At 40.1% G+C, this 13,178-nt stretch overlaps 1 protein-coding gene across 3 annotated transcripts in view, besides 2 other annotated features; it reads left to right on the forward strand.

The window, feature by feature from the left end:
* Nucleotides 1-13,178, forward strand: part of PLXDC2 (plexin domain containing 2) — a 473,425-nt gene that overhangs the window by 180,391 nt on the left and 279,856 nt on the right. For all 3 annotated transcript variants that reach the window (NM_032812.9, NM_001282736.2, XM_011519750.3), the window contains exon 2: nt 4,953-5,164. In NM_032812.9, coding sequence (NP_116201.7) covers nt 4,953-5,164 — 212 coding nt within the window. The remainder of the gene's footprint in view (nt 1-4,952; nt 5,165-13,178) is intronic.
* Nucleotides 6,959-7,048: an enhancer, noted in NCBI's record as "active region_3117". NCBI's record gives its function as "activates an Ori minimal core promoter by ATAC-STARR-seq in GM12878 lymphoblastoid cells {active_cell/tissue: GM12878}" and the evidence as "EXISTENCE:reporter gene assay evidence [ECO:0000049][PMID:35858748]".
* Nucleotides 7,129-7,288: an enhancer, noted in NCBI's record as "active region_3118". NCBI's record gives its function as "activates an Ori minimal core promoter by ATAC-STARR-seq in GM12878 lymphoblastoid cells {active_cell/tissue: GM12878}" and the evidence as "EXISTENCE:reporter gene assay evidence [ECO:0000049][PMID:35858748]".

Genomic DNA, 13,178 nt, shown 5'->3' on the forward strand with positions numbered 1-13,178 from the left:
CAGGCAAAGAGAGAGAGGTTGTGCAGGGAAACTTCCCCTTATAGAACCATCAGATCTCATGGGACTTATTCACTATCACTAGAACAGCATGGGAAAGACCTGCCTCCATGATTCAATTATCTCCCACTGTTTCCCTCCCACAACACATGGGAATTCAGGATGAGATTAGGGTGGGGACACAGCCAAACCATATCAGCACCTATGGTGGGAATAGAATATGAGGCAAAGTTCAACCTAGGAGACACAAAAGTCTTCCTCAGAGCTTTAATAAAATAGAGTGTCTAGGTCCCATTCAACTCCTTAGTATCTCTGAACCAAACATTCTGTAAGCTTTATCTTCTGTAGCTACCTTAGTCTGTAATGCTGCCAGTTAAAACCTCAAAGCTGGAGTAGTCTAGTTTATCGACATACCTAAAGATATAACTATTTTCTATAGAATTTTATCTTTGGTTCTGCAATGAATTGAGATGCAAAGACATATGGCATTCTATCTTAGCCAAATATTTTCATCTAGTCTCAAATGTATCTATCCAGCCAATCTGCTTTCAGTGAACAATCTGAATGTTTCAGAGGATTTACAATAGTGATTTGGTTCACTTGAAATGTGCAGGTCAAAGTGTTTGTCATAAGGTGCAGTAGAGATGGATCCTAATTACATAAGATGCATGTCAATTTATGCAGTTACTTTTTGGTGGTTTCACCTGTCTTATGTGTGTGCTTTGTATGTAAAACTCAAAAAATGTTCAAATGTTTTCAGCAAATAACTATTAATTAAATGCAAGATATTTTAATAAAATCATTAGAATAATACATAAACATATCCTTCCAAGCAAAGCTTTCTTCTCTTTTGCTTTTATATTATATTAGAGTATGTGATGACAAAAAAGAGACCTGCAAGATTTGCAAAGAATAATATGAGAATATATATGAGGATACACATGAATTTCCTGTTCTACTCTCAGATTAACTGAACGTTGTGGGGTTTCCTACTCATGTTTATTGGAAAAACAATGAAGAACTTTCTACAATAGTTTATCTGCTATTATGATAAAAAATCTCAAGAATGTGTTAAGATCAATGTATATATTGTATTTACAGAAATGTGTTTTCAAAGCTTCGTCTTCTTATATTCCAATGGGAATCAAGAGATGCATTTAGTGTTTCCATGAGCTATGTGATTAATGACTATAGCCAAATATGTTGGGGAAAATGATCTTTGAAGGTTTTTCCATCAGTGGTTTAATTAACATACAGTAGACCGAAAGCAAACAATCTGTTCAGCCAGACTATTCAAAGATCCCTGCTGTTGTTTTTGTTTTTACTGCAGCTGGAAAGGGAAAAATTATATCACATATATTCCTTCATCTTGCTTCTGAGTAATTTGTTTTGGTGCTGATTTAAAGAGTAATTTAAAACATTTGTATGAGTTTGAAAGTCTGTGAAATGCCTAGGAGTAATTTACAATATAGATAACGAAGCTGTGATTTTTCTGATTATCCTGTCTTTATTCTGTAAAACATATATTTTGACTTGTTTTATCTTCTCTAAAAATCATTTAGAAGTGGGATCAAAATCTAACTCAGTTTCATACTTTTCAGTCTTGATGAGCCATGTACTACTGAATTATGAACATATAATAGGATTTCCTCTATGCACGACCAGGTAGCCTTGTTTATTCATGACATAACCAGAGAGAAAGAATTAGGTTTAAAATGCCAACCAAAAGAAGCAACCAAAAGGATATTCATGGATGCCAGGCCCTAAAGCTCACAAATGTTCTCATTAGAAAACACCTCATGTTTTTCCTGAGATCCTGTTTACTCTTTGCAAACACAATTAGAGCAAGCAAGAGATCTGTTTTCCAAGTTTGAGGTAGCAAATTCCAGGAGGCACAGAGATGGAGGTTTGTCAACATTTGACTGTAACAGCTGTCAATGGTAACAGCAAGCGAGAGATACAAAATCATAAAACGCTGCTAAACAGTGGGGGAAAAAAAAAATCAAACCTCAGCTGTCTAGAGACCAAACCTTGTAAGTGCTAGAGTAAGGATATATGCTTGTCTCATACCTGTCTGCTAAATTTACTGTTTCCTAATAATCTTACTAAAGGATGAGCTTGAATGTTCAGTACAAAAACAAGAGTTTGACACATTCATCAGACTTCTCAAATTTCAACTTAAGTGGGAAATAGAGACTTCATCGTTTCTAAGTTTTGGAGCTCCTTTTCATTTGTTCTCTAGAGAAGGAAGGCAGGAAGAAAAAATAGGAAAGCGAATTTGAGAAAGTTTAGAAGTAGAATCCCATGCAGAAGGCTCCTCCAGTATTAGGCATTCCGTTTACTTTCTGTTCTGTGCCAGGATCCCAGAAGCTAATTTAAAAGGGGAGGGAAGGTGCTAATGGGTATTCCAGAAAGTTCTGTTTTGTCCTATGTTATAAATATCTAAAAAATGGTAAAAATTAACATCAAGGAGGAATAAGTAACACTTATTTAAAAGAAACCAAGAGCTGCTTTGAAATTCTGTTTTGAAGATTTTAATGAAGACAAATCCTTTGAAGTTGTAGGTGTTTGTTTTTTTTTTTTCTGATTTACATTTTGAAAGACTGATAGGCCTCTGGTTGACACCATTGCCTTAGTGTGTATGTTTTTTAAATACCATTTTTTTTATCTGGAATCATTTAATCTATTCTCTGAATGATGTTTGCTACCATTTCTTATCTAGGTTGACATTCTAACAAGGATCCTGCATGGGTTTTCAGTGGTTCCTACATGACTCTTTGTGTTTGCATAGCTATGTCAGGGGTGTAACTTGCTAAGAGCTACTATAGCAAGTGCAAGGAAAATGCAGGTATCTGACATTGACCTAAGTGTTGTGCTAGGAGGTCTTATCTGGTTGTCATAAAGTTTTATTGCTGGGTTATAAGGTGCCTCATGTATGTTTGGTAATGAAGCAGGATATATAAATAAAGCAAGTAAAATTGCTTTATGTAGCTTTGCCTAAAACCGTAGGTCTCAGAGCCTGACACATTCTCAGGAAAAGCTGTCTGCTTTTGCAGGCAGGATATTTTCATTCCCATTTAAAATATAGAATAACAAAAGCACGGAGACTTTTTAGAATTATGCCGGATCATACAACCAGCAAACCTACTAGACAGAATTCCAGCCCAAGAGTCCTGGATTCTTCCTTGCACAGTAGTTTTTTCATTACTTAATTTTGCCTGGTCCGATGATGCTTGCTCCAGAAAGACTGTCAACAATTCATTCGTCCACTCATTCAGTCAATCAATAAACACATTTTGAGTACTATCCAATGGCCAGTAGGGACAACAGTGTTATAAAAAGAGATATTTTCTACAGTGACGATGACAATACTGCTTAGATGTGCTTATTAAACACTTACTGTATGGAGGGCAGGAGGGTGTCCACACTCAGCCCTTTATGTACATGAGTTTTTTTTTTTGTTTTGTTTTGTTTTTTTAGCCTCTAACAATTCAATAAAAAGAACACAATGCTACATTTCTCTTGCTCTTGGGTTTCTCCCTGTGGAGTTTTGGCTACTTTGGTCTCTGTGGTCCTTTTGAGCTCTAACATTCTATGAGCTCAAGGAAAGGTCTAGATGGCAGACATCATGGTAGTGTTTCTCTCTGGTATGAGACAGGCATATATCCTTACTCTATGCATCATAATATCAGACAATAAGAGATCTTTTACTGTATGCATCATGACATCAGACAATCAGAGATCTTTGGTTTACTGTGAAACCAAATAATATCCTCTCTGTCTAGAAGAATTACTAGCACCTTTCTGAGTTGAAAAGGAGGTAGTTTAGGTAATTATGCCTGTGATTGGTAGTGGTAATCTTAAGTTAGTTATTAGAGTTCTAAGTAGCTGAATCATTGTATTATAAGCTGCATTAAATACATTTTGGTTTCTTAGAATGTTCTTGTACCAAGGGGAACATAATGGCTGTAATTAAATCACTGCTCCTTCTGCCTTTTGGAACCCATATCTTGCCAGTTCTAAAACCCGTCCATTCATATCTTTTACTAATAGTTGGGTAGAAGAAGGCTGTTCTTGTTCAGAAACTGAATTTCCAATACTTGTGGCATGCTTTCCCCTGCTGACCTACTGAAATGAGAGACGAGGAGCAATGATTAAATCTCATTTTTTCCTCCTGGAGTAGCAGGATGAGCTGGGTCAGCAAGGCCAGTCCCTGCAGATGACTTTAAAATGCCTTTGTGATTTGATCTCCTTGCCTTCCCATCCATTTCTGTAAGTGCCCATCACTGTCATCCTTTAGACCCTGACGAGATTTCAAGGTGAGAACGGCACAGATGAACAAAAGTGCAGGGATGACTCCTGAGGGTCTTACTTATTAAATGGGTCAGGCAATGAATGAAGACTGGCTTGTAAGCTACAAGGTAGTTTCGCCCATTTACACGAAGACAATTTCATGTATTATTTAACCCGTTCCTATACACTGGTGTCTCTTTGCTGTCCAGCATGAAATAAATATGAAATAAATATAAGCTTACAAATTAATGAGGTCTGACTTTTATTTTCAAAATAATCTGACAATTACTTGGTTTCATCCTTTTGTTTGGATTCTAGCTTGCTTTCTCAGAACAGCTAGAGAATGTGTATGAAGTGTGCGTGTGGAGGGGGCAAGGGAAGGGAATAAAAATGCATTGCTTCAGGGCTGCACATCTGTTTTTAAAAACTCTGCAAGATCTGCCCGTTAACCACTGTCACAACTCCTGGTGTTTCCTGCAATTGCATTCCAATCAGAGATGTTCGTACCAGCTCAAGATATTGCAAGTAAACAGATTTAACTGTTACAAGTTAGTTTCCTATTCTCGTGCCTCACAGAATTCTTTTTTCTTCTCGAGCCGATAGCACTTGCATGTATGGTACACATAATGAGTGGTAACCCATTTTCTTTCTTTTTCAAACAGATTGGCAGTATGGAGTTACTCAGGCCTTCCCTCACACAGAGGAGGAGGTGGAAGTTGATTCACACGCGTACAGCCACAGGTGGAAAAGAAACTTGGACTTTCTCAAGGCGGTAGACACGAACCGAGCAAGCGTCGGCCAAGACTCTCCTGAGCCCAGAAGCTTCACAGACCTGCTGCTGGATGATGGGCAGGACAATAACACTCAGATCGAGGTAGATAAATAGTCTGGGTAATTGAAATGGATTAATGAATTTATTTCATGTAGGTGCCCAACTTTTATATAGACATAAGTTGTCTCTTCATCTCAATCTAGAAATTTTGGATTTCTTTTAAAGAACAATTTAATTCGTTAATAAATATAATAACTAAGCCACTTTACCATCCATTAATTCATTTACAGACAAACACAGGCTTGGTGTGGTGATGACAGTGAGCAGTGAGGCATCAATACTGTGCCTGCTCTCAAGGAATTCATTGTGTAAGAGCTTTTTTTTTTTTTTTTGAGATGGAGTATCACTCTTGTCACACAGGCTGGAGTGCAGTGGCACAATCTCAGCTCACTGCAACCTCTGCTTCCTGGGTTCAAGCAATTATTCTGCCTCAGCCTCCTGAGTAGCTGGGACTACAGGCGCATGCCACCACTTTTGGCTATTTTTTGTATTTTTAGTAGAGATGGCATTTCACCATGTTTGCCAGGCTGGTCTGGACTCCTGACCTTAAGTGATCCACCCACGAAGGCCTCCCAAAGTGCTGGGATTACAGGCATGAGCCACCTCACCTGGTCCTGTGTAACAGCATCTAAGTGCCATAAGCAAATCATCCCAGGGCCATGTGATATGTACAATCAAAGTATGCAGGCTGTAGTGTAGCATGAAGGAGAGTGTGATGAAACTGCTTGGGATTGAGAGTTGGGGTGTTGTCAAAGAGGCTTAGCCTAGAACTTGGCATTTAGATGGGGGCTTGACAGATTGAGAGGAGTTCACCTAACTGATGACCTGTTTATGGGAAGAGGGAGGGGCATGCTAGGCAGAGTAAATTTCCTCTGCAGTGGCTGAGGTGTAGAATGACATCTCCAGGACTGTCTCATAGGGTGACCACTGGTTCCAGTGGCTTGGGGCCGAGAAGTTTTCTGGAACGTAGGATGGCTTCCAGTGTTAAATATGGAACAGTTCTGGACAAACTGGGATGATTGGTCCCTCTGACTGTGAGTTATTCTTTATTATGGTTGGAGCTATGAAGCGGAGGGAGGAGAATGGTCAGAGAACAGTTTGCTAAGTACAGACATTTGCAGAGGGTGCATTTTAGGCAGATTTCAGGGTTGCTCGAAGGCCTCAAAGGTGGTGTTATTTCTTAAGTTTCTGTAGTCCTTAGCACTGCAAATCACAAAATATGATCTTGCTTGTAAACTAGGTACAACAGAAACAAGCAAGTAAACTTGGGCAAAAAAGCGAAGACCACCCAAATGAGAACAAACAGAGGTGATTTATCCAGTTTGCTCAGGCACGGCTTCGGCTGCCATCACTTGTTTTCAGCAGAGATATAAAGGCAGCTCAGGGAGTGGGAAGGTTTTTGGTGAAAAATAGAAGGTTCAGATGCACTCTGACCAGAGGTTGTTGGCATGGCAAACCTGGAGGTAGGCTAATTAGAAACAGCATGTTTGTTTGTTTGTTTGTTTTGAGACTGAGTTTCGCTCTATCATCCAGGCTGGAGTGCAGTGGCATGATCTCGGCTCACTGCAACCTCTGCCTCCTGGATTCAAGCCATTCTCCTGCCTCAGCCTCCTGAGTAGCTGGGATTACAGGTGTGCACCACCACACCGGCTAATTTTTGTATTTTTAGTAAGGACGGGGTTTCACCATGTTGGCCAGGCTGGTCTTGAACTCCTGACCTCAAGTGATCAACCTGCCTCGGCCTCCTAAAGTGCTTGTATTAAAGTCATGAGCCACTGCACCCAGCAAGAAACAGCATCTTTTATTATTAGTTTGAGGAACATCTTTGGCTTTTGATGGTTGGTCCTGAGAGTGGTATGAAGACAAAGAAATAGAGAAGCTCTCAGTTACTAAGGAAGTCCTGACCTTTCCGGGCTGACTACTGCCAAGGCTGTGGTGTGGCTTCCTGAACTGGCTGCTGGAGAGGTTGCATCAGAGTTCTGTCGTCACGTACGGTCTGCTCATTGCGTGCTGGTACATTCTTTCTCAACCTGAAGTTTCAGTTCCTACTTTCTCTGAGCTGACAGGCTTATGATTTTTAAGAACCAGGCAGCATTCTTTTTACTGCACCACAATCCCTGAAATACTCATTATTTAAGAAAAAAAACTCAGTTTCCTGAAGCAGATATTACCTAGTCCTGCAAATAGTATCAAGGCATCATTTTGTTCCCTCACAGTGAGAGAAATCTTCAAAAGATCTGAAGTATAGGCTGTGGGAATTCAGTATATTTGAAAAATACAGCAATTTCTCAAACCCCACTCCATGGCATTAGCTATTATGTGGCCATGGTGTTGGCAGGCTGCCCCAGGCAGGTCGCTTACCAGGCAACGGTTGATGTGTCAGGAGCAGAAGTCTTATGATATCTATAAGAGGCTATTCTGACTCCTGCAGAGTGGCCTGCTATTTTGGCAATGATGATGTTATAGCAACTTGGGGTAGGCAACATAATTCTTCCCTGAGCCACTCTTTAGCTGGGGTGCAGCATCAAGAAAGGAGAACTGAATAGAAGCAGAGGCGTTTACTCTCTGCCCAGAACTAGGACTCGATGGATATTGAAAGGGAAAAACACATCCCTATTCGGCTAAAAGCCCAGACTTTGCCACGACAAAATGCAAAAAATCTGCACCCCCTAAGTATGTAAAGACTTTTAAATTTCTTCGAAAAAGGAAAGAGGAGAACACAGATTCCAAGAACTCTGTAATCTCTCCTGTGGGGTGCTGAATTTTCTTAATCATTTATAAAATAAGAAATCTCTTTGATTGGGGGTATATTAACACTCCTGAAAATACAATCCCGGTGGTTACTGTAGCTGTAATTTTGTGATTCAGCCAATTTTTCTACTTTCTACCTTAACAGAGGGAGACCACAAAGTGTCAGGTTTGAATCAGTAAAAAGAGGGCAGAAGGATGGCCCAGGGGACTGTTTGGTGGGTACTCACCCAGGGCTAAGAGCTGCCAGGTACTGTGTGGATGCTCTTTTGTTTGGTCCACAGCAGCCTTGAAAGATTTGTGTCCCTGTGTTTTCTGGGCAATTTCAATGATTTTTTTACACGAGGGCAATTTCAGAGTTAGGTTTTAGTATTTTCCTAAGGTCTCCCATTAATGAGCATTCAAACCCTGCTGGTATTCAAATGCAAGCTTTGCCAGGCTTACAGGGTTGATCCTCTAGGCTTGACGTTGCTCTTTCTAGCAAAAGGAAAGACAAATGACACTTGAATTATGTAGTGATTTTGAACAGCAGCAGCCCATGAGTATCCATAGGAGGGTAATTGTGGGGTTTCAGTCTGGCTCATAAAAGACTTGTTTTGAATCCAGGGTTGCATACTAAGAACACTGCTTTTATTTCAAGATTCATTTATTTTGTTGGGGTTCTGGGGATTGATGGAGATTATTGGGATCTAAAGTCCTCAAGTAGCTCCTTGGCACTGCCACTAGTTGCGGAAACAAAAATCTACCTCTGAAAGTTTGGAAAGTGTACTAGGCCATTTTTGCCTTCCTATAAAGAAATACCGAGACTGGGTAATTCATAAAGAGAAGAGGTTGATTTAGCTCACGGTTCTGTAGGCCCTACAGGAAGCATGGCTCCAGCATCTGCTTGGCTTCTGGTGTGGCCTCAGGAAGGTTTCAACCATGGCAGGAGGTGAAGTGGGAGCAGGCGTGTCACATGATGAGAGCAGGAACAAGAGAGAGTGAGGGGCATGGTGCTGCACATTTTCAAACAACCAGATCTCTCCTCAACGCACTCATCACCAAGGGAATGGCACTAAGCCATTCATGAGGGATCTGCCCCTGTGATTCAGACACCTCCCACCAGGCCCCACCTCCAACACTGGGATTACATTTCCAAATGAGATTCGGAAGGGACAAATACACAAACCATATCAGAAAGTTTTACGTATCCTGGCTCTTGAAATGGTATTTGTGGGCCAGGCGCAGTGGCTCACACCTGTAATCCCAGCACTTTGGTAGGCTGAAGTGCGCAGATCACCTGAAGTCAGTAGTTTGAGATCAGCGTGGCCAACAAGGTGAAACGTCATCTCTACTAAAAATACAAAAATTAGCTGGCGAGTGTCTGTAATCCCAGCTACTCAGGAGGGTGAGGATGAGAATTGCATGAGCACGGGAGTGTAGGTTGCAGCCAGCTGAGATTCCACCACTGTACTCCAACCTGGGCAACAGAGCGAGACTCAGTCTAAGAAAAAAAAAAGGTAAAAAAGGCATTTGTGAACACGGTTGCATCTCTTTTGGGGAAAATAGTTTTGCCCCATTGTTAAACAGAAATAAGAAAGAAACCAAATGGTTATAAAGTGAATACTCTGTGCCTGGCATTGTTACAAGGTCTTGCTTATCTTTTTGGTTTATATTGCTAAATACAAACAATGAGCTAGAAAGACTCTGTGTGCTTTTTTCCTTTAGACGCTTTCAAACTCAGTTTCAGGGGTCAGAATTATTTTGTCTCGTAGCCCTGACTGCAGTAGTGGCTGTTAAAATTATGTGTATCACAGTGAGACAAAAACCACCCAGAATGGTATTCCTCAGATGTTCTCCTCATTTTTTTTCATTGTCTCGACTTTATGTTCTACTTTAACTTAAATAAAACAACAACAACAACAAAAATCCCAAACCAACACAAGACAATAGCATGTTTACTGTTTTGACACAAAGGCTGTTATTCTCTTCACTTGGTACTTGGTGACAGTATTTTTTCTGGCTCTTCACAAGAACAGATAATGGAAGGATTGTAAAACTTGGTAGCCCAGTTAAAGAATTCTTCCAGTTAAGGTTTTGTTGTTGTTATTGTTTTCATTGTCTAATATTCTTCCCATGAGCATATAAAATCTCTAGAAGCCAACTGTATATCCTGTTGAATAAGCAGGGGCCCAACAGATGGCAAATGCCGCTATTGATCTGAATGTTGATTTCTGTGAGACCTTTCTTCTTGTATTTCCTCTGTTCATTCATACGGACGTATAACCACTTAGCCAGGTGAGAAGTAAAGTACCTTCTGCTGAAGTGTAGGTATTAAAAATGAGGTGTCGGGAAATAGTCACTGCATGTGCTACTTTGTATAATTATTTTGGGAATATAAAGGCTTACAGGGCTTTCAGGCAGGATTGGATTCCATTCATGATTTGGCCTTGTTGGAGCAGCCTTCACTGAATTCCACAACTCAGGGACATATGTGTAAATGAGCAGGGCAAGCATCTTCCCCTGGAAGCTGGCACCTTCCCATTATCTGGCATGAAGCTCTCATAGCAATGATAGCACCTCATAGGATGGAGAGTGCTTTGACAGTGTTGGCTGAAATTACTGATGCTTAATAAAGCTCAGTTTCATCAGCCTATTGCTGTAGAATAGTGTTGGTCACTTATAGTGTTCTTCACTTTATAGAAATCAGTCTCAAAGTCCTTTGTGACATGCTAGACCAGATATGTGGTTTTGAACACTTATTCACATGCAATATTTGGAAGTGTCCTATTTCCACTCTTGGGACATTGAAAGTGTTTATTAAAAGGACTGTACTGTGTGATTTTTTGCCTTGACTCAAAAGCCACTGGATGACTGAAGAAGGGAGGTTTTAAAAATAGGTATTATGGATCATATTAGTACAGTTTCATGATAAAAGTGACTCAGAGATTGGGAGCTAGGCCAATGCCTCTGAAACTTTAACAAGCTTACAAATCACCTGGGAATCTGGTTAAAATGCATATTCTGATTTCTTAGTTCTAGGCTTGAGCCGGTCTGATATTCTGTTTCTAATAAGGTCTCAGGTGATATAGTTGTGGGTAGGCCATAGGCCACACTTTGGGTTGCAAGGATTTAGCTATTAGTTTTGAGAGCAGAAATCTTAGCTTAAATTTAGGTGCCTGCCAACAGTATGTTTCATGGAATTCTCATTCTGGTACCTAATTAAAAATGTCAGTTGTATCCAGCAACTGTTGTATTATTCATGTGCATGGAAGTTCATATCTGAGGAAAGTACAGTCAAGAATGATCAACAAATATGTGTGATAGATTTAGCTAAAAAGTAGAGATAAACAGTTTTTCTCTTAAATGCATTCCTAAAAACTCTCTTTGATCTTCGGCTATCACACATACACTGCCAGTTGTGTTGGCATCTTATTTTTACAAATTGTGCAATATGTTTCTTTAAAAATTTTACCAGTTGCTAATTGCTGTACACAAGGTCATTGTGTGGGCTCTAATAGCTGATTGCAGCCTTTAACTAGAAAGTCTGTTTAAGAGGAAATAAGTCACCAGAAAATACTTAATCTAAAAAAAGAATGTAGGCCAGGCGTGGTGGCTTACGCCTGTAATCCCAGCACTTTGGGAGGCCGAGGCAGGTGGACCACTTGAGGTCAGGAGTTCAAGACCAGCCAGGCCAACATAGTGAAACCCTGCCTCTACTAAAAATACAAAATTAGCCAGGCATGGTGGTGCGTGTTGTAGTCCCAGATACTCGAGAGGCTGAGGCAGGAGAACTGCTTGAACCTGGGAGGCGGAAGTTGCAGTGAGCCGAGATCGTGTCATGACACTCCAGCCTGGGTGACGAAAGTGAAACTCTGTCTCGAAAAAATAAAAATAAAAAATGTGATTGTGTTGATGATGATTTTATGAAGAAAAAGCAAATTTTGTAATGTTGATGTGGACAGAATCTCCATGTTATGTTTGCGGTATAGAGATGATGTGGTTTGGCTATGTCCCCACCCAAATCTCTTCTTGAGTTGTATAGCTCCCATAATTCCCATGTGTTGTGGGAGAGACCCAGTGGGAAATCACTGAATCATAGGGGCAGGCTCTTCCCATACTGTTCTCATGATGGTGAACAAGTCTTTTGAGATCGGATGGTTCCATAAAACAGAGTTTCCCTGCCTGTCGCCATGCAAGACATGACTTTGCTCCTCCTTCACCTTCTGCCGTGATTGTCAGGCCTCTCCAGCCGTGTGGAACTGTGAGTCCATTGAATCTCTTTTTCTTTATAAATTACCCAGCCTTGGGTTTGTCTTTATTCGCAGCTTGAAAACGGACTAATACAAGAGAGTACATTGGATTATCCATAGATGTGGAAAATCTTACTCCTCTTCTATATTTTAAGCCTAAGGAAGCTCACTCAATTTCAGAGGTCTGACAGTTACAATAATGAATGTAACTATAAAGGAGTAGTAAGACATCATCCCATTTCACAGAAATAGAGTGATAAAATTTTGCAGAATGCTGCTATGCTGGTTCTGTCTTTACACTACTATTGTGCTCAGTGAATTCTTAGAATAAAACACGTACAAGGAGAATGTGATAGTGTAGATTTTTGACATTTTTCAAAAGAAAGTATCCTTTGATATTGAACAGTCCTTTTACTATATTTATTACGAATGTGAAAATCTGATGGAGTTTTTGTGTGTGAAATATTTCCTTTTGGGGGGATCTTAAACTGATAGATGTTTAACATGTGGCTGCAAAATCAGAAAATTGTGCAAAGGGAAGGCAAAGATTAATCCTGAAGAAGTGCACATCTTGGACCTCCAAGTGTATTGAAATCTTCCAAATGCTTGTAGGTGTCAGGTTGGCTTCCACAGAAGATGAGAATGAAAGCATGTGAAAGCACGTAATTGAAAAGGAGAAATACTGCATTGGTTCATGAATAGGCAGAAGGAGACCTTTGTTCTGTAGAGAGGCAGGATTAATGCAGTGATGAGGTGTCATCTGAACCAAGTCACGAAGAAAGTGTCAGAAGATAGCCAGGTGTCAAGGTCATACTAGATAGCGTGTTTTACACAGATAACCAGGAGCAAGATTTTAAACTTCATTGTGTACGACACTAAGGTGTTTAGAATTTATCAGGAAGGTACTTGGAAACTGCTATACAATATTAAATACAGAAAGGCAAGTTTGCAATGATGCTCCTACCTGATTGCTATGGGAACTGAATCAGAAATCCCAAATCTAGGAGTGAAAAGATGAGTTAAATTTAGATTAGAATTGTTGTGGTGTGACATGAGATAGTGGTTAGGGGAAAGGC

This window comes from Homo sapiens, chromosome 10, assembly GCF_000001405.40.
Source record: "Homo sapiens chromosome 10, GRCh38.p14 Primary Assembly".
Taxonomy (NCBI): Eukaryota; Metazoa; Chordata; class Mammalia; order Primates; family Hominidae; genus Homo; species Homo sapiens.